Genomic DNA, 25,581 nt, shown 5'->3' with positions numbered 1-25,581 from the left:
AAATTTCAGGCCAATGTTCTTGATGAACATCAATGCAAAACTCCTCAACAAAATACTTGCAAACCAAATCCAACAGCACATCAAAAAGCTAATCCATCATAATCAAGTAGGCTTCATTCCCTGGATGCAAGGTTGGTTCAACATATGAAAATCAATAAATGTGATTTTTTATTTCAAATTTAAATGCCATTTTTAAAGCAAATAATTTGTTATCTTTTAATAAAAATGGCTTTATTTTAAATTATTATTGAAATTGTTCCCATTAAATTATAAATTAAAAATAGCAGAAAGAAATGAAAAAGTTATCTGTAAGTCCACTTTTCTACGATAACTCTCTGGAAAGTGTTGTCTTAGAAAGCATGTCTTTTTCTTAAGTCATTTCTAAATCAATTCCTAGAACAGTGCCTGGAACATGGTATCCAATGAAATCCATCAGAGGGATAAAAAACATTAATTCTAGTGATCATTCTTTTGTATATTCCTCAATACACAAATATATACACATAACAGATGCTTTAAATTTTAAATTTAATTTGAAACTTTGCCTATGCTATTTTCTCCCTCCTAGCACCTTCCTCCCACTTCCCTTCCCACCTAGAGAGCACTTATTGTCCAGTACTTTCACTCTCCTCCCAAATAGCACAAAGAAATTTGAATACTTTGACTTCATTTACATCCTTCTTTACTTATTCCCACTATTACTGTTCTTTTGCACAGCTATTGCTCATTTAAATGTACACATGTTCACTGCTTTCTTGAATCTTTATTCCTTTCTGCCTCTCCACAACTTTCCTTAAGAGGTGGTTGATGGAGACATTTTTACTTCTTTCTCCCAATACTGACACATTGCATAGCCCAGCAGGCACTATTGACATGGAAAACTGCATGAACAGTGCCCCAACAGCGGTGCCACAGCAGCCCTGGGGTTCACTCTTACCTTTTGCAGTATCGGCTTATTCTGTGGAGGATCTCCTGTTGGTCGTATTCTAAGTCTAAATTTCTGTCTTCCCTACTTTTATGCATGTTTAAATGCTCTAAAGGTAAAAGAACATTTTGTACACTGGGGCTTGTTTTAACTTTCTGGAATTCGGTTTACACTGGTATTTTGACTTTGTGAAGATTACTATCTTGCTAGATGTTTGATGATTTTAATAAGATTGAGACAAGAAGATACTCATAGAATGCTATAAATTTATTCTGACTTCTCCCTTCTTCCTTCTCCTCCTTCCTTTATACCCTCACTCCCAAACCCCTAACTATTAGTTATGGCTGAGAGTTTGGTAGCTTTTGTTTCTTGTTACTTACTAGCTTTTTCATTGCAATCTGTTTATTTTTGCAATTAGTTTTTCACTTGTAGTTCAAGAATGTTTACATACAACTTATAAACTCACATTCACTTTTTTACTATTTATTTACATGTTTTTACAAAATATCATATTACTAAAATATTATAACAATCTTTATGCAAGCGATATCAAAATACCCAAGTCTTACAGAATTGTAACATCAGTTTCCTCTATTTATTGAGGAGTAAATGACACAGGTAAATTTGGAATCCCTAATATGTGCATTATAGGTTCAGTCCCTATCCTCTACCATCAAAACAGTTATTGTCATTAAATTTGATATATATCCATACTAATTTTACTTTACCTTTTACTTTATGTAAGTGTATTCATAAATAATATTTGGCATTACGTTTTGCGGGCATTATATACCATGTAACATTTTTCATTCTGTTTTTCTTTGTCATGCAACATTATTTTAGTTCTAGCCATGTTGCTAAATATAAATCTTATTTATTTATTTTAACAGCTGTAAAGTGTTCCACCACCCAAATCTACTATAAAGTATACATTCATTTCTCTATTGGCAACTTTGGCAATGTTTCTCTTTTTTCAGTATTATGTGCCACAAGCTTTCAATAAGAAGTCTTCATATATGTTTATGCCAGAATTTCTCTTGGACATAAGCCAAGAAGTGAGACTGCTGGGTCATGGAGTATGTGCATGTTCAGCATCTTTAGGTATTGCCAAACTTCCGCCTACAATACCGCCATCTGCAGTCCAGGAACATCTTGTTTCCCCTTCCTTGCTCTGTCTGACTTAATATTTGAATATCTAATGAGTGCGAAACACTTCATTTGGCATCTTTCATGTTAATTATCTTTCAGCATTTCTCTTCTATAAATGGTCTTATCATAATCTTCAATGCATTTGGCATTTCTGAAGTATTTCCTAGTTATACACATTAAAATCCACTGCTCTATCTTAAATAAATCTGAATCCATGCATGATTCTAAACAGTTGGAGAATATTAATTCACTGAATTATAGTAATCTTTCCAATGTCAAAGTATTTCATCATACAATATCAAAAGCAATGAAAATAATAATTACACTCTTAAATTAGCACCAATAGAAAAGACTTTTATTGTTGGGAAACTCTTGAACACACAGGAACAGATACATGTTTTCCAAAAATCTATTTTTCATCCCAAATTGTAAATGTTATAACATTGGCCACAATGTCAGTTGTTTTCCCTGAAAAGACAGGTCTACTGTGTTCGTTTTTGAATTTTGTAGATTTGTTTGCCAAATACTCAAGTATGCCTATTAGCCATTTTTTTGAAGTAAAAATTGTGCTCACTTTTAAAGTGGCTAGTTTAGATGGCAAGCCAGTCACAAAATTGTCTTTCTTCAATATCAACATTGTACTTTATTATACAGCAGAAGGGTTCTGTGTGCTTACAGGGCAAGATTTAATACAATTGATAATTTTTACTGCTTCACCACAAATATTCTTAAGTGAAATTATTCTTATCTACCGTGAATGCGTGGCACTGATGAATACAATGACTACAGTTAGAACATCATCACAGTTAGAACATCATCCCTACAGATATCAGCAAACAAAAATTGGCAAATAACAGATTAGAATAATTATGAAAAAAAATTTTTTTTGAGATGGGGTCTCGCTCTGTCACCCAGGATGGAGCACAGTGGCGCGATCTTGGCTCACTACAACCTCTGCCTCCTGGGTTCAAATGATTCTCTTACCTCAGCCTCCCAAGTAGCTGGGATTACAGGTGCCCACCACCACGCCCAGCTAATTTTTTGTATTTTTAGTAGAGATGGGGTTTCACCATGTATCCAGGATGGTCTCGATCTCCTGACCTCATGATCTGCCCACCTCGGCCTCCAAAGTGCTGGGATTACAGATGTGAGCCACCGCGCCAGGCTGATGAAAACATTTTTAAACTAATGGATCTCCTGTGTACCCATGAAACCTCAGGGGTCTATGGAGCACACAGTGAATGAATATCACTGTATTAGATTGGCCAAATCTTTTATTAATTCACCTATAAGCATACCAAAGTTTTTCAGAAAACACATTTTGAGAAAATTGGTATAAGTGATATTCTAGAAAAAAAAAAAAAAACCAGTTCTAAATTGCCTGTACCTTTAATGATTTTTCCTTCTTAAAAAATAAAATGTCGATAACATGAATACCTTGTTTCTAAGGGACATTTGCTTAACATTTTTGTTTCTCTCTAAATGTTGAGAGAAATTTAGCAGCATAAACAAATCTCCTACTTGAAGATCATTAATTTAGGAACTCTACCAACTTGACCCTTTGGTATGTATGTTTTCCTTATATATTTTGGGAAAGTTGTGTTCTTTTGTTTTCTAAAACTTGCAGAAGAAAACTCAAAAGATTTAATAACAGTTTGCCACATTAGGATGCCAAGTGCAATTTTGTCATAAGACTGTTTATGAGTAAGCTTTATCTTGGATTTAGCAAGCTTTTGTTTATAAAAGATTACTTTTAAAAAGACAGAGGTCATTTCACTCATTTCCATTTGCTGGAGTGGGAGCTCGGAGTTCTCTAAAGAATTTTGGCCATAAATGGTAGGTGCTCCCCTTTGAAACTCTCTTTCCAACACACGAAACCAATGCCAGCTCAGACCATTGACATTTTAGACAAGAGATGTTTTCAGTCTTAAGATAGGTGGCTGAATGCAGTGTGGAAAAGATGCTCATATATTCTTGGGGTTGGAATATAGGGGGAATAAAGGTCAGGGGAAAAACTCTTTAACAGGTTTTGGATTTTTGTACCCCTGAAACTCCATGTCACTATATTTAAACAATCAGATAATAGCCTGCCCTAAGAATGGTAGATCCTAAAACAACAGAACTCTTCAAAATTGGGAAAGAGCACAAGGAAAGAAATCAAACAATATTTTTAAGTGGCAATGCTTTAAAAATGAACTCTTAAGTATGAAATTAAATCTGGCTAAACAATTCTCCTACCTCAGCCTCCCAAGTAGCTGGGATTACAGGAGCCCGCCACCATGCCCAGCTAATTTTTTGTATTTTTAAATACAAAATATATAAATATACTTCACATTTTAATGACGTTTTTCTAGTAAAATTTTTACAACGTGCCTTACCTTTTTCTTGAATAAACAAGTATAATTTTAAAAATGATCTTTTAAAACAGATTCTGTTTTGTTTCTTTAATTTTTATAGAGTTGATTCTTACTGTGGGGACCAAGGGAAAACTTCCCCTTTGCCCTCTGAAGGTTCCCTGAAAAGCAACTGACAAAAAAAAAGACTAATAGGTAAAAAAAGTATATAAATTTATTTAATCATAGTTTTACATGACACAGGAGCCTTCAGAAGGAAGATCTAAAGATACAGAGGAAACTGTCCACTTTTGTGCTCAGGTTCATGCTGTGCTTAACACATATGTACAGCCATGAAAAAATATGATTGGGCAAAAAGGTTATGATCTAATGCTAACAGACTGAGTTAGGAGACACAGCAAGACCTGCGTGTTTAGGTTCTTCTTTTCCTCTCTGGGCAGCATTTTGGGTATGGGGCAGGACCCTCTCTGGAACTGGGGAGTCTTATGAGCTACAGTCAAACAACATAGGTCAGATCATTTCTTTATGGCCAGTTTTACACAGAAAGCTGAGGGGAACATTACAGTAATATTTTTGGGTTTTGTGGCTGGCTTGGGGGAAAGGAGTTCTGGTACCCATGACTCGCCCTGGGGAAGAAGGAATCTAGTCACTCTCACTAGCCTCGGGGGAGAATGAGGGGTGGGAGACAGGAGGACAGGAAACAATCAGACAGAAACTTTTGCTTCTGAGATTGTTTTAGAGGCCTTCATTTTGGGGTATAGTTTCTAAGCCCCAACAACATTACATTTTAAGGAGAATGTAGTTTGAGTAGCTGGGAGAATTACAGAAGACAACCAAAACATTTGATTATTGTTTTGCCTACGGGACAGGTCATCAACTACAGTTGATTTATCTGAATTTTATAGGCCTACTTCATAGTAGTTTTGGGTAAATTAAGCTTATACAATTTAATAGTGAGTGTCTTCCACCAGAGCTTTCTTGGCAGAACTCATGGCTCATTCCCCAAATTCTATTTTTTTTTTTTTTTTTTTTTGAGACAGAGTCTCGCTCTGTCGCCCGGGCTGGAGTGCAATGGCGCAATCTCGGCTCACTGCAACCTCTGCCTCAAGGATGAAGCGATTCTCTGATTCTCCTGCCTCAGCCTCCCATGTAGCTGGGACTACAGGCACGTGCCACCACTTCTGGCTAATTTTTGTATTTTTAGTAGAGATGGGGTTTCACCATATTGGCCAGGGTGATCTCAAACTCCTGACCTCGTGATCCGCCCGCCTTGGCCTCCCAAAGTGCTGGGATTACAGGCATGAGCCACTGCACCCAGCCCATTCCCCAAATTCTTACTGCTACTGTGAAATTCTCCTTTGGCATAAAGGTGGTCTTGTTTAAATGATATGGAAAGCACCTTCACAAGCTTCTGTGCTGGAATCACCATCATCTTCCCTTTTTAAAGATTACCTCCAAGGACTATTATTAAGAGAAATATTTGTGTTTGTGTCTACGTAGCTAAATATGTGTGTATGTGTTAAAATCAGAGTCAGCCAGCTGCTTCCTATAGTGACAGAGACCTGAGTACTTTGCAGTCTAGGAATGGATCTCCTGTATCTTCAAAAGCAATGGTTTTCAAATGTAAGTGTAGAGAAGGTTGGGAGCCCATTGGTGGGTCATAAACCTAATTTAGTGAGTCCTAATTACATGTTTTAAGTAACCTAGAAAGGAAATGAGGAAAAAAGAGAGAAGTAAAAATATAAGAATACATGGACATGTAGTAAGAAAATATTTTCATAAAACTTCTTCAAATTGTGTTTGCATGTGCACATATAAACAATTGCATATTTGGGTACGAATTGGGCTGTGACATGACATGTATTAAAGAATGTGGGACATCCCTCAAAAATACTTTAAGAACACTGTTCTAAGGGACCACTTTAGTCATCTTTTTATGTGTGCATAAATAGGAAAAGGCATTTATTATTCTAGAATTAGTAATAGAATCTCTTTACTTCGTCTCTGTTCTTACATGCAGAGCCCTAGAAAAGGAGGTAGGCCCAAGGCCATGTTGCACAATGTCATTCTTCTGTACAGAATGTGACAAAACTCTGAATTTTGTTTCCTAAATTTGGGGTGAGTTCAAGCCCAGTGATAAGGAAGAATAAGAAAGTATAATAAAATACAAAAACTAAAATTAATTGAAGAAAGAAGAATAGAGACTGGAGCCTGGTAGACTGAGTTCAAAAAGACAAGAAAAAAGAAAAAGACCTTAGAGTTTAGAGGATAAGTTGTCTTGACATCACAGGTGATTGATGTTAGTAGTCTCTTTGGCCCCACCACTCTTTTGTATATTTGTTTTTTCAATAGACATTTATTTAGTGCATAATTTCTGCCCGGGTATATATTCACAATGCTATTCACATTGATGAGTGATGCAGATATAATCACTGTTTATATAGAGGTTTTCTCAGTTCATTTTGTGATGGTATAACTGAATACCAAAGACTGGGTAATTTATAAAGAACAGAAGGTTATTTGGCTCACCATTCTGCAGGCTGGGAGATTCATGAGCATGGTACCAGCATCTAGCAAGGGCTATCCCATGGCACAAGGTATCACATGGTGAGACAGAGAAAGAAAATGCGGGCCAAACTTATCCTTTTATCTGGAGCTCACTCTGGAGATAATGGCATTAATCCATTCATTAAGATGGAGCTCTCATGATTCTCATGAATCACCTCTTAAATGTCCCTCTTCTTGATACTATCACAATGTCGATTAAATTTCAACATGTGTTTTGGAGGCGACATTCAAATCATGACAGAGGATATTTTAGTATGGAGGATATAGACACTGAACAACTTAAAAAGCAAATAATAACAATAGTGTGAAACAAAACAACATAAAAGAATAGTGAGAGCAATGGATGTTATATTGGCAATCATGCCTGGCTGTAATGCAGAGTAATTTTTAAGCCAAATATTTGAAATATATTAAATCAACCATAAAAAGAAAAAAAAAGTTTGGAAAAAGGGACATTGCTTCAGGTAGAGGTGAATACATTAGCAAAGGGTTTGAAATGACAAGACTAATAACATAAGAGAATTAAAATGAGACATATGTGGCTAGAACTTAGTGCAAGAGGAAAGAAGGCATGGAAGTTGACAGTGGCTAGGCCATGCATTCAATTAAGTATTTATTAAGCTCTTACTTAATGCCAGGCATTGTTCTAAGTGTAAGTACAGCAGTGAGCCAAAAGAACAAGTCCTTTAGGTTATTGTGACAGAGATGAATATAAAATAAACAATATTAAAATTGAATTGTAACATCAGAGAATAAGAATTGCATTTAAGGAAGTAAAGCAGGTTCCGAAGATAGAGAACGACAGGATTTTACTTAAGAAACATTGTTTGGAGGCTGGGCAAAGTGGCTCATGCCTGTAATCCCAACACTTTGGGAGGTTGAGGCAGGTAGATTGCTTGAGCCCAGGAATTCAAGACCAGCCTGGGCAACAGACTTCATCTCTATAAAACATCTTAAAAAATTAACTGGGTGTGGTGGTATATACCTGTGGCAGGGCTGCAGTGAGCTGTGATTATGCCACTGAACTTCAGCCTGAGTGACATAGACCCTGTCTCAAAATAAAGAAAAACTAAACATTGTTTGGGACAGTCCACTTTGAGGAGGTAATGTTTAAAGAGAAGTAAACTGAGAGAATTATCCATCTAAATGACTATGAAAAGAGATTTCAGGATAGAAGATATAGTGTGTGCAAATGAAATAAGGTAAGAACAGTCTCTCTTGAGAGGCAACAAAAAGGCTAGTGTGGCTGGAATTTAAGAGATAGCCATTGCCAAGTCACTAATAGTCTTATAGGCCATAGCAATTATTTTTATTATAATTTCAACATGTTGAAATTCCATGGGATGGTTTTAAATGAGAGAGTGAAATAATCTATATTCTAAAACGATCACTTGAGGTCATACTTGACAATGGAATGAAAGTAAACGCATGGTCCAGCCAAGAAATGATGGCAGTTAAGACCATGGTGATAGCATGAAGAGTGAAATGAGTGGTCAGATTTTAGATGCATGGATTTTAGATGCAGAGGGAATATAATTTTGTAGTATATTGTTAATAATAATGAGTATGAGAGGTAAAGTAGTTGATATCAAGCTGATAAATTACATACTTGAGAAACAGACAGTGAGAGAGAGAGAGAGAAAGGAAGGAAGGAAGGAAGGTAGGAAGGATGGAGGGAGGGAGGGAAGGAAGGAGGGAAGGAGGGAGGGAAGGAAGGAAGGAAGGAAGGAAGGAAGGAAGGAAGGAAGGAAGGAAGGAAGGAAGGAAAGGGAAGGGAAGGGAGGGAAGGGAAGGGAAGGGAAGGTAAGGGAAGGGAAGGAAGGGAAGGGAAGGGAAGAAGGAAGGAAGGAAGGAAGGAAGGAAGGAAGGAAGGAAGGAAGGAAGGAAGGAGGGAAGGAAAGAAGGAAGGAAGGAAGGAAGGGGTTTAGGTTAGAAAAATGGGAGGTTTGGGCCGGGTGCAGTAGCTCACGCCTGTAATCTCAGCACTTTGGGAGGCCAAGGTGGGCAGATCACCTGAGGTCAGGAGTTGCAGACCAGACTGGCCAACATGGTGAAACACCATCTTTATTTAAAAATACAAAAAACTTAGTTAGGCATGGTGGCGCATGCCTGTAATCCCAGCTATTCAGGAGGCTGAGGCATGAGAATCACTTGAACCTAGGAGGCGGAGGTTGCAGTGATCTGAGATCACGCCACTGCAGTCCAGCCTGAGTGACAGAGCAAGACTCCGCCTAAGATGCCAAAGGGAAAAGCTGAGCAGTGATTGGAACATGGTTCAGGAGTTCAGAGAAGAGGTGAATCCTGGAGCTATTAAATTTGAATTGCATAGATAGGACTGAACTGACAAAAGTTAGTGAAAAGAAGACTAATTAGGTATGATCCCAGTGGGGAGGTTGGGGAGGATGAAGAGGCTTTGATGAAGAAGTGTGAGAAGGAGCAGCCAATATAGTCATTGGAAAATCAGAAGAACATGAAGAAAGGCTTTGGGAAAGTAGAAATGATTAGCTAAGAAGCCACATAAGTTAGGTGTGAATTATCCATTAGATTTGGGAAAGTAGAAGTCAGTGATAGGAAAACAAATCTCATTATGTATTGCTTTTTTCGAATCAAGAGTTTTATTACGAATGGACTCAGGGAGAAAGTGAAAAAAAAGGGTATCAAATGTTTGCTGACTCATAAGCAAAGTCAAGCCACTTAACTATGAATAAGATTAGAGAAAGTCAGTGGTGTAGATTGCTAATTAACTATTATAACTTCCTGTAACAAACATATTTACACTCTAAATGAGTTAAATTATTTTTATAGGACATATTTTAACAAAAGTCATTTCCTGTCACAAACCTCTACAAACCTTAGCAGTTTTAAAGTTTACATTCACAGTCTTTGGAAACAATAAAGTAACCCTTTTAGCATTACTTGAGAGTTCTTAGCAAATACACTTAGACACAACTCTATGAAATTAGGCAGAGAAAATATAAATTTAAATTAAATTTTATGAAAAATACATGTATGTGATGACTTGAAAACATTTTTTCTTATGTAATCATACCCGTTATATAGGCTAAGTAACAGCACTGTCTTCTCCAAGCGTCTCGGTTAAGATCCTTCAAATTCTATTCGAGGTTTCTGATAAATGTTAATTGAAGTCTCTTGTCTGTGGCTTCAAGTCCAATTTTTAGTCAAGGATGAATTAGTATTGCAGAAGTTATAAAACTCTTTTTCTACATTAGGAAATTTGCCAAGAGAAGTTTCCTTAGAGCAGTGCAAACAAGAGCTTAATTGGAAAAGGATCAAAAGGAATGGGGGGAGAAGAGGAGGTAGAGTCAATGATTACAGACATCTTTTGAAGAGTTTTGCTTTCAAGAGGAACAAAGGAAATGTGGGATCAAGGAAGTTTTTTGTTGTTTTTGATTTTGCTTTTTCAGATGGAAATACGACAACATGTTAATGGAAATGATTATGTAGATGGAGAACACTGATATAAGACAGAGTGGTTAAGTGGGAAAAAGTCCTTGATTAGATGAGACAGCATGGGTTCCAATGGGGAAAGTGGAAGGTGTGGATTTAACCTTAGCATAGAAAGAGCAGATATAACCTTTGATCAGATGAGACTTTGTAGAGCAGGATAAGGAGTTTGAATTTCATGGACCAGAAATCAGGATGAATGTTAAAAACTGATCAGAAAGTGTGATGTCAGTTTTGGAAAATTAAGTTACTGTGTAGCTTCTGATAATCACAAGTTCCAGAAGCTAACAACCAGGGGAGTGATTGTGAGACAGAGCACAAGAAAATGCCATCTGCAATGAGAAAGTAAAGAAAATCAAAGGTCAGGTGTTGAATGAGACAGTCACATAGAGGCTGATATTACCAAGAATAATGACATGCTTAGGGGAAGACATTATGTTTATAATACAAAAGCTTACTGAGTGAAATAAGAATGAGAATTGGTAGGTGACATAAATAGGAAGATTGAGAGCTTAAGAGGGTAACATATCAACCACAATCTGATGGGAATGTTTCAAGTTGGAGTATATTAATATTATTGTTATGAAGGACTCCTCCTAGCTCAGAGGTCAAGTGTTGATCTTAGAGAAACAAAATCCAGAACACGGCAGTGTCAAACAGTTGTAGTCCTGGCGGGCAGGTGGGAGCACCTCTGCAACCCTAGTCAGAGATCTGGAATGGCAGGGGCATTGCTCATAAATGGAACAGAGTCTCTAGTAACTTCTAACATCAAGTTTCAACAGTTAATAAGCATGACAATGAGAATTAAGTTTGTGATAGACCACCTGTGGATGGGCAAAGCTGTGGAAATATTTGGAGTGAAAGGAAACCACAACAGAAACACACTTTCTTTCTTTTTTTTCTTTATCACAAGGTCTGGCTGTATCATCCAGACTTGAGAGCAGTGTTGCAATCTTGGCTCACTGCAACCTCTGCCTCCCTGGTTCAAGTGATTCTCATGCTTCAGCCTCCTGAACAGCTGGAGTTACAGGCATGTGCCACCATGCCCAGATACTTTTTGTATTTTTAGTAGAGACGATGTTTTGACATGTTGACCAGGGTGGTCTCAAACTCCTGGCCTCAAGTGATCTGCTCACCTTGGCCTCCCAAAGTGCTGGGATTACAGCTGTGAGCCACCTCGCCCAGCCCACACTTTCTTAATAGCTCACACTTTCTTAATAGAGCAAATGAGATCTTTAGTTATTAATTGATCTAAATAAATGAGATGAGGCAGAATTTCTACTCTAATTTTTTATAGCTTGTCAAAATTCTTATGTATAGATATGCACATATATATTTACTACCTAAAACATTTTACAAGGATCAATAATCCTGATGGGTACATGCCTCTGTCAGAACAGAAGCATTTTAATATTGTGCTAAGTAAAATGATTGAGTACTCATTTCATTACCTGTCACAGCATTTATTATTATTTTTATCAATTTATCTTAAGCACAGATATATACCAATAGATGCTTCCAATTTCTTACTTAAGGGCCAGGGGATTACTTATTTCAATTTAGGCCATTTGTTACTAAGAATATTTGTCATTTGTACTTTCTCTTTATACAGCTTAGGAAAAATACTTATGCATCCTCTATGAGCTGCTGTTCTAAATTCCAGAAAGCAACTACTTTTTATGCTGGATTTTGACATGCATTTCCCTCATTCTTCACTTTAGAATATTTTACTATTTTTAATAAGTAACATAGCCTCATATTCACTGAGTGATATAATTAAATTTAAAATATGCCTTTCTCCCCTTATTGGAGGAACAATACTATTAATTGCACTGACCTCTAACATGAGATTTTAAAACTGATTTCATATCAGTTATGGACAACTGTAAGGTAGATGCAACCATTCATCTTCAGGAGAACTTTATGTGATGATCTTCACCACTTTGTTCAGCATCATCTCCTTGATGACAAGATGACAACAGTGTCTACTAAGAGTACAGAATTATGAGAATCTTTGGATTTGATTCATTCCTTTAGGAAGCAAATTTTGTCTCTAAAAGCATATAAAGGTTGGCTTTTACATTTTCTTCTACTTGTGTAATTGTTAAGTTATAAACTCATTGATGGTAGCAGCAGCCCTTCCGGAGCAGCCGCTGGGAGGAATCCAGCTGCTGCAGGGGAGGCATGGCCAGACTCCATGGAGCCTGTGGGCTGGGAACAGATGATCCAGCAGGAGCCCCACGCCCCAAAGAGTTGGCAGGGTGGAGCCTGTGCTCCTGGGTGCAAATGCAGCCCAGCCACCATGGCAGCTGCCAAGCCATGGCTCCAGATCCGGGCATCCCTGTGCTCTCAGGGGCCCGAGAAGCCCCCTACCCCCACAGGCTCAGAAGTGCCTGCTCCCACTCCTTGGCCTCTCCCCACTCCACAGCAAAGCAAAGCTGTGGTCACGTCCCAATAGCTGAGCCTGGGTGCTGGCATGACCCGGCTGGGTGTGTGCATGCTTGGGGTGGTGCTGACACACCAACCCCCAGCTGCCTCAGTCTGCTCTGGAAACTGCTTCTGAGACTGAAACTTTGGTTACTGACGAGCACGGGAGGGAGGCCAGGGGGCTGAGGGTGGCTCGGCTCAGGCCTGTGGGTGCCCCTTGGCATGGACAGCCTGAATGCCATGGACAGCGTGTTGATGGCAGCAGGAGGCAGACAGGTTCTAGGCAGGAAAGGGTGGGTCCCTGTTGAAACCCCACCTTCAAGCCAGGGACAGCCTGAAGCCTGGGGAACTTTACCAAGTTCCAGGTGAAGTCTGACACCCAGAGTGACCACTTCTTTGATGCCTTTTAGCCAATCAAGTGATGCTTTTTCCATGTCCTCCCATGAACCAATTGGCACATACCTCCTCCTGCCCGTGGACCAATCAGCATGCATTTCCTCCATTCTGAGCCCATAAAAACCCCAGACTCTGCCAGAGTCAGGCACTGGTTGGGACTAACCGCCTGTAGGTAGGAACTCTCCACTTCAGGTTTCCTCTTCACTGAGAGCTGTTCAGTCACCCAAGAAAGTTCTTCTCCACCTTGCTTACCCTCCAGTTGTCCAAGTAACCTTGTTCTTCCCGGATGTGGGACAAGAACTTGGGATCTGCTTAACAGCAGGAGTGAAAAGAGCTATAACTTCTCTGGCCAGCTCACCAAGATGCTGGCAGGAACAAAAGAGGCTGTAACATGGTAGCCCTCCTGCCCTCCGCTGGTGCTGGGCAGCCACCCCATGCAATGGGAAGTAGTTGCAGGGCCAGGCCAGCCCAGGAGCCACAGTTGGAGTGGGATGGACTGAAAGAGCTGTAATACAAATGGGCTGAAACATCTCCCTCCAGCCCTCCCACCCCTGCTTGCCCTGCTGCAGGTGACAAGGAGGAGGAAAGAGCTGTGGTCCTTCTAGGATCCCAGACCTCGAGGCTCTCCAAGCCAGGGCTGTGACATGCTGTGGGGCTCTGTAGTTCCTTGCATCTCCGAGCTTTGAGGAGCCACGGTGTTCCCCTCATCCAGATGCTGCAGCCCACAGCAGAAGCTGTTTGCAGTATGTCTGGTCCAGCTGCAGCCTCACACAGAGCCAGCGCCTGTGCTAGTGCCTGGAGCTGCCTGCTCTGCCATAGCAGCTGGCATGCCTGGCTGTGCGCAGTGGCCAGGACCCTGTGCTTGCTCTCTCACACACCCCTTGCCACTCTGCACCTGGCTCGCCCTTGGCAGGTGTGGGATCTGGGCCAGTAGCATGAGCTGAGCACAGCCTGCCAGGCCAAGCAGGCAGAATGAGCCTGGCAGCCAAGAGCAAAACTCAAGCAGAAGCACCACCAGTCACAGAGGTTTCTGGCTGGTGAGGCGGCACCAAAAAAATCCTGTGTCATTATTTCTCTTATTTTTCTACATGACAGGGACAATTTGTATTCTTCAGCAAATCACATGTCACTCACTTACAGAAAATGCAATAAATCCCCTACCTCCCTGAAATCTCCTACCTCCTTTTTTTAAACAAGAAATTCTCTGGCCTGGAGTATCTGAAGATTAAGAATCATAGGGTAGATTAGGGTACAGGAACTCAGGAAAGCTAGTGTTTGGACATTCATTTTTCAGAGCTCATTGTCTGATGTTTTGCCTTTAACATTTTAGAATGGCAGAGCTAATTCACTGTGCCATGAATTAGAACCCAGATGGGGCTTCTGCTCCTCTCCTGTCAGACATAATTTGTCTCCTGGTTTCCTGCTGGCCTATTCTTCAGCATCGTGTTTGATATTACCCAGTCTTGCTCCCTGGTTCACCCATTTGGATGTAATCTATTGCCCTGACATTTTAGATCCTTAAATTCTCCCAGTCCTCCTATAGCCTGCCTTCCTTGGCAGGGTCTCATTTGGCACAAAACTTGACTTTACTCTTGGCCCCTTTGCTTGGCAAACTTTAGTTTCCTGCTCTCCATAGATGGCTTTTCTGAAATACGACCCTGGCTAGAATTGCAGACTTTGTGTTTGTAATTATCTGAAGAGTTTGCCCTCAAGAGTAAGATATGCTACTGGCAAACCACACAGCAGTTGAGCTGCCTTCTAGAGTTGCGTGCACTCCTCTCCAACTGACATCGTCTTCATTTCTGGCCCCAACTCATCCGGATGTGATCAGATGCCTGCCATCTAGAAGATATAAAGAACAACTTTATGCCGTGTGTGTGTGTGTGTGTGAACTTAATTCAGTATTTATATGCTAACTGATGGACAAAACAGAACTTTTTTAAAAACTTTAAAATATGAGAACTGCACTAGTTTAGAAGAGCTTTTACATCTCTTTCAGCTTCTTTTCTCCATGGTCACCCTTCAATTCTGCAGTCCATACTGCTTCAGTGAAAGTGTTACCCACAAAGCTACTAATAATGACTTCTTAGAAAATATAATGGATAAGTTTGTAGTTTTTACATGACTTGAACTCTTGAGAATATTTACAAACACTGACCATTTTATCCTTTTTTTAAAGCTTTTTATTTGGAGACATCATAATTTCCTATCTTATTTCCTATACCTCTGATATACTTTAAAGACACTTTTTTTTCTATTTTTATCCCTTAAATATTTGGCTTCTTACAAGTTCCACTAAAAGGTCTCTTAGATTCAAATATTATACATAGTCTGAGTAATCTCATTCATTTCCTTGTCTCAAATTATTATCACTTTGCAAATGTGTATCTTCTCCCAGACAGTTCCGCATAACTGCAAATGCATATATCCAACTATATTTTGGTTATCACCACTTAAATGTTTAAATTAAGGATCTTAGACAGAACTTCACCTGTCTTCACAGAACTGCTTTTCCTCCGCATTTCTTACCTCATAATAGCATCATGTGCTAGTTGCTCAAACCAGACACCAGCTAATTTCCTTCTTTCCTGTCCTGCCCACTAATAAATCACCACATCTTACAAATTTTATTTCTGCGGTGTCTAAAATATATCTCCCTCCCTTTCCTTAACTTCTATTCACTGCCAAACCCAGGGCTGTATCCCACTTTGCCTGAAATACTCCAAACTTTTGATGATTGCTTTCCTGTCAAGCCCATTCTCTAGCCAAGTTGATCTTTCTATATGAAAATGGAAACAATCACTACTCAGTTTAAAACTGTGTGCATTTTCTGGTGACTTCAGGATATAGTACTTAATCAGGGAAATAAAGGCCCACCAAAATCCTCCACACCTGTCCAATTTCAGCTTAGCACTTTCAACCCTTCTCCAAATTTCATTAACATTCTCTCTTGCTTTCGTAGATATGTACACTCTCGGATATAAACCTTGCAACATGATGTACCCTCTGCTTGGCTCTCACTTCTGACTTCACAAGCACACACTAGCACCCCTCCTTCCCTCTCACTATGCCTGGTTAACTTCCACTCACCTTTCATGTCTCAACTTGGATGTGACTTCCCTCGCGAGAAATCTTTCACTCAATAGAGGCCTCTCCTGTGTGCTAACAAGCACCCAGTAATGTCTCCTTTCATAGAATTTACGTTAAGTAATTGTGGCTTCTTGTAAATGAGCGTCTTCCAACCAGTATGTCAACTCAGTGAGGGAAGGTACAATGTCTCATTTTTTCACTGTTGGGTTTCTGGTTTTTAGCACAATTATGGATACTACAGACATGTTAACAGACTTAACATTTTTTTTCAATAAATGGAAGAATTGATATACCTCCCTAATAAAGATGTATATGAAAACTCGCAAAAGAGAGTTCCAAAGTCTTCACTTCTTACTAAGAAAACAAACAAAAAGAAGCCAAAGGCTTCAAATTATATTATCCTACAAAGCTCTACATGATCTGATCCTCCCATTCTTTACCTATTTTTTATTATTTTCCTATGATTATTTCTTTTGCTTGCTCCAACATAGCAGTTTTTGCCTTTGTTAAATACACCAGGCATTGCGTTTACGATAGCCATTTCTGTTGCTGTTCCCCTGACTAAAAGGCTGTCCTACAGATGTCTGCATAATTTTCTCTTCCACTACTTAAAGACTCTACTTAAATCTTAGCATCTCAATGAGGTTTTCCTTGGCTGACTATTTAAAGTTGCAACTCATTCCCATCAAACCTCAAACAAATACCGTTAGTGTCCCTGATTTATTTTCTTCACAAAAAATTATAAATCTCTGATTTATTGTATTTCGCTTGTTTCTCTTGTTTATTTTATATCTCCTCCCATCCCTTTATAATGTATGCTCCATAAGAGCAGTGGCTTTGATCTATTGTTGTTCACCGCTCTATCCCCAGTGTAGAGCATGCTTGCCATTGTTAAATAAATCAGTTAGAAATAAATAAATATGATTGTGGTGGTTAATTGTATGTGTCAGCTTGAGTAGATCATGAGGTGCCAGGTATTTGCTCAAATATTATTCTGGTTGTGACTCTGAGAGTGTTTTTTTTGGATGAGATTAACATTTGAATCTGTAGACTGAATAAAGCAGATTGTCTTCTCTAACATAGGTGAGACTCCCCCAATCAAATGAAGGTGGGAATAGAACAAAAAGGGGGTCCCTCTGGTGAGAAACAGAAAACTTTTCTTGTCTGACTGCTGAGCTAAAATAGCAGTCTTTTCCTGCCATTACACTTGAACTGAAACATTGGCTCTTCTTGGGTATCAAGCCTGCCAGCTCTCAGACAAACTATACCACCAGCTCTCCTGGGTCTATGGCTTGCCAAATGCAGATCTTGGGACTTTTCAGCCTCCTTAATAACGTGAGCCAATTTCTTATGATAAATATATATACATACATATAGATAAGACAATTTTATTTATATTTTTGGACAATTTTATAATATATGTTCTACATATATACATATTATCTAAAAATATATATATTATATATTATAAGATCTGCAATTTACAAGAAATTGGCTCACGTGTGTGCGTGTGTGCACATTTCCTGTTGTTTCTGTTCCCTGTTCCTCTGGAGAACCCTAAAATAATGCTAATAAAAATAAGCAACAAGTTAGTAAAACTTTAAATAAATAATTACAGAATAGTTTTAACCTATATACCTATATATAGCTGTGTACTTTAATGCCTTTAATAATATCTACTATTTAATGCAATTCGTGCTATTTATTCTATTTCTGGAATTATCACCACAGTTTTTTAGTTTCTACTATTTATTGTCTTACTTTCATTAGACTGTATGTCTATTTTCTATTATTCATAGATCACACTGGGGTTCAAGAGATACTTTTATTTACTGTGTTTCCTAAAATCCATGTTGAAATAGATTGAGTATCAGTATCTGAGAATTATTCATGGTATTGCTGCCTTTACTTTGAGAATCTGGCTTACTGATACATAATTTCCTCTAATTAAAGATATTTTACTGAAATAATTTTAAATATATGCAACAGAAATAATTTATGCAAATATGTTCCACTTATCTGAATGTCATCAAATTACTTCCAATAAATGGGCTATTCATGAGTTTGACTATCGTTTATATGATTTGACATTATTATAACATGTCTGTTAGTGTTGTTAGCAGAGTACAGTCTGGTCTGCCTTCTTTTCTTCCTCATAATCAACATATGGAGTTCATCTTCTCACCTCAGACCTGCTGTGTATCTACCGATTCCACCGATCTTTATGATGGAGCCAAAAGAGTCCAATATGTTTCACTCATACAAATCCTGCTTTTTATTCTGTCCCACAAAAGGCAAGTAAACAGAACAATGAAGTTTCTAGTCTTGCTGAAACACGACTTAGGTGAATAATAGCTTGCCTGAATTAGTGTTTTCAGCAAATGAAACAAAGAACTCCCAGCAAAGAACATCCGTATCCCTACTATCACATATTGTCCTTGAGGAATAATAAATAATATGTGCATTTCAAAGACTGAATGCTCCAAAATACCTCACTTGGTCTAATATGTTATTTAATGTGCATTTGCAGTTTGTAGCTCTAGATTCCTCTGACTGCTACAGTTGGTGCCATGCTTCTGTCTCATCTTTTTAGCTGGTCTTGCTGTCAACATTCCATGGAAGCCAGAGCAACCTCTGGATGAACTGTCTCAGGTGCAGCAAAGCAGGTGTGCTCCACTTGACTGTTACTATAATATTCATCAAGAGATGAATGGCTAACAATTGGATTCCCAAAAGGCTTTAAATATGTGTTTTAAATAAATTTGTCTCTTACCTTTGGCCCAGGCACCTCACGGGCTTATAATTAATATTCATCAAAAGAGTCCTGAATCTCCATAGGCCTATATGAAGTGTAGCTTGAGTCTGGTGTATTCTACCTTCTTGCTTAGTATTCAAATCCCCTCACTAGCCAAAATCAAGTGGTTGCATGCATGCCCACACATGTTAATATTTGTGATGGAAAAAATAACTTTGTATGATCTCTGTATACTTGGCAGAGTCTATATCAAAATTTAGATTTCTGTGCTCTAATCCCTTGTACTGAAGAAAAATATGAAATTCCAATTGCAGTGCTGTATTATTTATCTAAAAGTGCGATCCATGGGCCAGCTGCATTAAAATAATGCAGAATATGTCATAAAAATTTAGATTTCTGGAATCTACTCATGACTTATTGAATCTCTAGTGGTAGATTACAAGAATCAACATTTCTACCTTTGCTGGATTATTTTTCAGTATACATAAGTCTGAGAAATCTTGGCTTAGAAATGCTTACTATAGACTATACATAAGATTTTTCCACTAGGTAAATAAATTCACAATTCTAATTTTTATTTTTTTGCAATAATTTCAAGGTACAACAAAAAATGATTGAATTGCTTTTTATTTCCATAAGAAACTACACAAATATCTTGAAGATTCAAGAGAACATTGTACCAATGAATAAAAACTACATTATGGATCATACCATGTGGAAAATATGCTTTATGTTTTTGTCTCATAGTGTCCCTTAAGTGTTCAATAACTACAATTGATCATGTTGTATACTTCTATAAAAGTCAGCTTCTCCTGCCGAATGTTATTTGTGCATTGCATTTGTAAAGACATGTGCATACATGCATGTTTATATACCTATACATGTGCATACATAAGAAAACACACGTGCACACGTATGGACCCACATGCACATGTGTATTGACATGAAAATGTAACATGCACACACACAAGCATATATACATTTGCACAAATATATGCATACACAGAAATGGCAACATGTACAAATCACACACATGTGTACATGTCCTTGTATACATACACATGTATGTACATATACACTTGTGATATCCTTACTTCATACTGGAAACTCTTAAAAATATTATAGAAACCAATGTTTAGTTATCATTTGTCTTGTTCTTTCTATAAGAATTTGTGACTCTTGGAAGTCTAGAAGATTTTGTAGTGCTAAAAGGTCTGTTTATACCTGCCTCAATCCACTTAGCTAAGACCTCTAATGATTTTATAGATTCTACTTTGAACACAATTATAACTGACACTTTAACAAATGAATGGATACTGGGAAAAAAAAATAAAAGGACAAAATAGCATGATGAAGAGGGTTAGTGAATTGGAGAAATGAAAAGAAAGGGAGATCAGAATAATGAAATCAGAATAATGAACATCAGAATGTACAGGCTTAAAACCAAAAGCAACAGATTTACAGTGGGTAAAACCTCACAGAGAATTCCTTCGAGTGGAAACTTGGAGAGTGTGGAATTTAACAACTTCATATAACCTTAATTTTTCTTGGAATTCGTTTTCTTTACTTTGGATGATGATTTTTGAAATCTTCATTTAAAAAAATAAATACTCCAAGAAAAGATCATATAAATATCTCTTTCTTTAAGTGTATGCTTATTTCTTCATAAAAATAATAACCTCTTTATGAGTACATTATATTGTACAAATTTATTTTTCTTCCCCCAACTTCTTCCTACCTAGGGTAGAGGTAAAGAAAGAAATGACTTCCTCTTTTATCTACTCTTTCTTTACTTTGATGAGGTTTTGAAAATATTTCAGTATATTTTTATAAAAATGTTTGAATTCCTGAGTATTGAATTTGGAAGATAAAAATCAAGACTTGTTATTCTTTTATAATATCACAACATGTGAATTTTGGTCAAAATGAGGGCAATCAAAGGCTTTAATAAAGTTTAGCAACTACGTTGAAAAATACTGCTAAGATTTTTGAAAATTAAAAAAATCTACTTATGTAAATGTAATTTTCTTACTGTACTATTCAACATATTAAAAGAAATCCTATGGGCATGAACTCTTACAGGAAATTTTAAAAGAATTTACAGAAATGAATGGGGGTGTTGATATCATGGATACTTTCAAATCTACCTCTTTGATATAATTTTGACATTTCAGTAGTCTAATTTAACAAATTTAAAGTAATCTTGAATTTATTCTTACCAGCTTCATGATACATTTAAAATGAGGACAGCACTAGTTACAAGTTAGTGTCAATAAAATTTTCATTTCTATGTATTTGTCTTGGTACGCTACATTTTAATCTTTGGATATTCTAAGGTCCTTCGTACAGGGTCTTAGAATTAAAACTTCAACATTTTATAGCTTTTATTGTAGAGATCTTTCACATCTTTGGTTAAGTTTTGTCCTATTGTAATTTTTGTAGCTATTGTAAATAAAATTTTTTTCTTGATTTCTTTTTTGGATAGTTCATTACTGGCATATAGAAATGCTACTGATTTTTGCTTATTGATTTTTTATCCTGCAACTTTACTAAATTCACTTATTAATTGTAATAGCATTTTGGTGGAGTCTTTTTAGTTTTCTATATACATAAAATCATGTAGTCTGCAAACTGGGATAATTTGACTTGTTTCTCTCCTATTTGGATGCCTTTTATTTCTTTCTCTTGCCTAATTGCTTTGGCTTGAACTTTCACTTCTATGTTGAATAAAAGTGACGAAAGTGAGCATTATTTTGTTGTTACATATCTTAGAGGAAAAGCTTTCACTTTTCCTTGTTCAGTGTGATGTTAGCTGTGGGTTTGTCATATACAGACTTTATTGTGTTCAGGTATGTTCCTTCCAATACAAATTTGTTGGGAGTTTTTGTCATGAAGAAATGTTGAATTTTATTGAATGCTTTTTTGGCATCTATTGAAATGTTCACATATTTTGTCCTTGATTCTGTTAATGTAATATGTATGTTTATTAATTTGCATATGTTGAACCATCCTTGCATCCCTGAGAGTATCCCACTTGATTATGGTGAATAATCTTTTTAATGTGTTGTTGAATTTGGTTTGTTAGTGTTTTTCTGAGGATTTTTGAAGCAGACACAAATAAAAGGAAAGCTATTCCATGTTCATGGATTGGAAGATGTATTAGTCCATTTTCATGCTGCTGATAGACATACCTGAGGCTGGGTAATTTATACAGGAGAAAGGGTTTAATGCGCTTACAGTTGCTTGCAGCTGGGGAGGCCTCACAATCATGGTGAAGGCAAAGAGGAGGAAGTCACATCATATATGGATGACAGCAGGCAAAGAGAGAACTTGGGCAAGGAAACTCCATTTTAAAATCATCAGATCTTGTGAGACTTAGTCACTATCCTGAGAACAGCATGGGAAAGACCTGCCCCTATGACTCAATTACCTCTCAGTGGGTCCCTCCCACAACATGTGGGAATTCAAGGTGAGATTTGGGTGGGGACACAGCCAAACCATATCATTCTGCCCCTGGCCCCTCCCAAATCACATGTCCTCACATTTCAAAATCAATCATGCATTCCCAAGAGTTCCCCAAAGTCTTAACTCATTTCAGCATTAATTCAAAAGTCCATAGTCCAAAGTCTCATCCGAGATAAGGCAAGTCCCTTCCAACTATGAGCCTGTAAAATCAAAAGCAAGTTAGTTACTTGCTACATACAATGGGGGTACAGGCAATGGGTAAATACAGCCATTTCAAATGGGAGAAATTGGGCAAAACAAAGGGGCCACAGGCCCCAAGCAAGTCCAAAATCCAGCAGGGCAGTCAAATCTTAAAGCTCCAAAAGGATCTCCTTTGACTCCATGTCTCACATCCAGGTCACTGTGATGCAAGAGGTGGGTTCCCATAATCTTGAGCAGCTCACCCTTGTGGCTTTGTGGGGTATAGCCTCCCTCCCAGCTGCTTTCATGGGCTGAAAAGTGAGTGTCTGCAGCTTTTCCAGGAACACAGTGCAAGCTGTAGGTGAATCTACCATTCTGAGGTCTGGAGGATGGTGGCCCTCTTCTCACAGCTCCACTAGGCAGTGCCCCAGTAAGGATGCTGTGTGAGGGCTCTGACCCCCACATTTCCCTTCTGCACTTCCCTAGGAGAAGTTCTCCATGAGAGACCTGCCCCTGCAGCAAACTTCTGCCTGGGCATTCAGACATTTCCATACATCCTCTGAAATCTAAGTGGAGGTTCCCAAACCTCAGTTCTTGACTTCTGTGCACCTACTGGCTCAACACCATGTGGAAGCTGCCAAGGCTTGGGGCTTGCACCCTCTGAAGCCATGGCCTGAGCTGTACATTGGCCCATTTTAGTCATGGCTAGAGTGGCCAGGATGCAGAGCACCAAGTCCGTAGACTGCACACAGCACAGGGACCCTGGACCAGGCCCACAAAACCATTTATTCCTCCTAGGCCTCTGGGCCTATGATAGGAGGGGCTGCTGTGAAGACCTCTGACATGCCCTGGAGACATTTTCCCCATTGTCTTGGGGATTAACATTTGGCTTCTCATTACTAATGCAAATTTCTGCAGCCAGCTTGAATTTCTCCTCCAAAAATCAGATTTTCTTTTCTATCGCATCATCAGGCTGCAAATTTTCCAAACTCTTATGCTCTGCTTCCCTTATAAAACGGAATGCTTTTAACAGCAACCAAGTCACCTCTTGAATGCTTTGCTGCTTAGAAATTTCTTCCACCAAATACCCTAAATAATCTCCCTCAAGTTCAAAGTTCCACATATCTCTAGGGCAGGGCAAAATGCCACCAGTCTCTTTGCTAAAACATAATAAGAGTCACTTTTGCTCCAGTTCCCAACAAGTTCGTCATCTCCATCTGAGACCGCCTCAGCCTGGGCCTTATTGTTCGTATCACTACCAGCATTTTTGTCAAAGCCATTCAACAAATCTCTAGTAAGTTCCAAACTTTCCCACATATTCCTTTCTTCTTCTGAGCCCTCCAAACTGTTCCAACATCTTCCTATTACCCAGTTCCAAAGTTGCTTCCACATTTTCAGGTATCTTTTCAGCAGTGCCCCACTCTACTTGTACCAATTTACTGTATTACTTGATTTTCACACTGCTGATAAAGACATAGCCAAGACTGGGTAATTTAGACAGGAAAAAGGGATTAATGGACTTGCAGTTTCACGTGGCTGGGGAGGCCTCACAATCTTGGCAGAAAGCAAGGAGGAGCAAGTTACATCTTATGTGGATGGCAGCAGGCAAAGAGAGAGCTTGTACAGGGAAACTCCCATTTTAAAACCATCAGATCTTGTGACACTTATTCACTACCACGAGACCAGCATGGGAAAGACCCACCTCCATGATTCAATTGCCTCTCAGCGGGTCCCTCCCACAACACATGGGAATTCAACATAAGATTTGGGTGGGAACACAGCCAAACCATATCAGAAGGATTAATATTGCTAAAATATGCATATTACCCAAAGTGATCTACAGATTTAGTGCAAACCCTATTAAAATACCAGTGACATCCTTCACAGAAACAGGAAAAGCAATCTTAAAATGAACATGGAAATGCAAAAGATCCCAGATAGCCAAAGCAACCTTGAGCAAAAAGAACAAAGCTGAAGGCATCATGCTACATGACTTCAAAATATACTACAAGGCTATAATAACAAAAATAACATGGTACTGGATAAAAAAGATGCATAGACAAATGAAACCTGAATGGAGAACCCAGAAATAAATCTATGCATTTACAGTCAACAGATATTTAACAAAGGCATGAAGTACAGATATTGGGGGGGCGGGGAATTTCTTTAATAAATAGTGCTAGGAAAACTGGATATCCACATGCAGAAGAATGAGACTAGATTCCTATCTCTCACTATATACAAAAATGAATTGTAAATGACTTAAAGACTTAGATGTAAGATCCCAAACTATTAACCTACTATGGGAAAACACAGGGGATATGGTTCATGAAATTGGACTCGTCAAAAGATTTTTTAAAATAAGACCTCAAAAGCATAGGAAACAGAAGCAAAAATTAGTAATATTGGATTACGTCAAACTAAAAAGCTCTTGCAAAGCAAAGGAAACAATCGATAGAGTGAAGAGACAACTTACATGTTAGGAGAAAGTATTTGCAAACTACTCATCCAGAAGGAGATTCATATCCAGAATATATAAGAAACTCAAACAACTCAGTAGCAAAAAATGATAATAATCGATTTTTAAAATGGGCAAAATATTTCTAAATAGATGTATCTCAAAAGAAGGCACACAAATGGCCAACAGATATATGAAAAAAATGTTTAACATCATTAATCATCATGGAAATGCAAATGAAAACCACAGTAAGACATCACTTTACTCTAGTTAAAGTGGTTATTACCAGGGAGATACAAAAATAATAAATGCTGGCAAGGATGTGGAGAAATGGGAACTCTTATGCACT

This window comes from Homo sapiens, chromosome 7 (genome assembly GCF_000001405.40).
Source record: "Homo sapiens chromosome 7, GRCh38.p14 Primary Assembly".
Classification (NCBI taxonomy): domain Eukaryota; kingdom Metazoa; phylum Chordata; class Mammalia; order Primates; family Hominidae; genus Homo; species Homo sapiens.
This window is presented reverse-complemented; position numbering follows the sequence as displayed.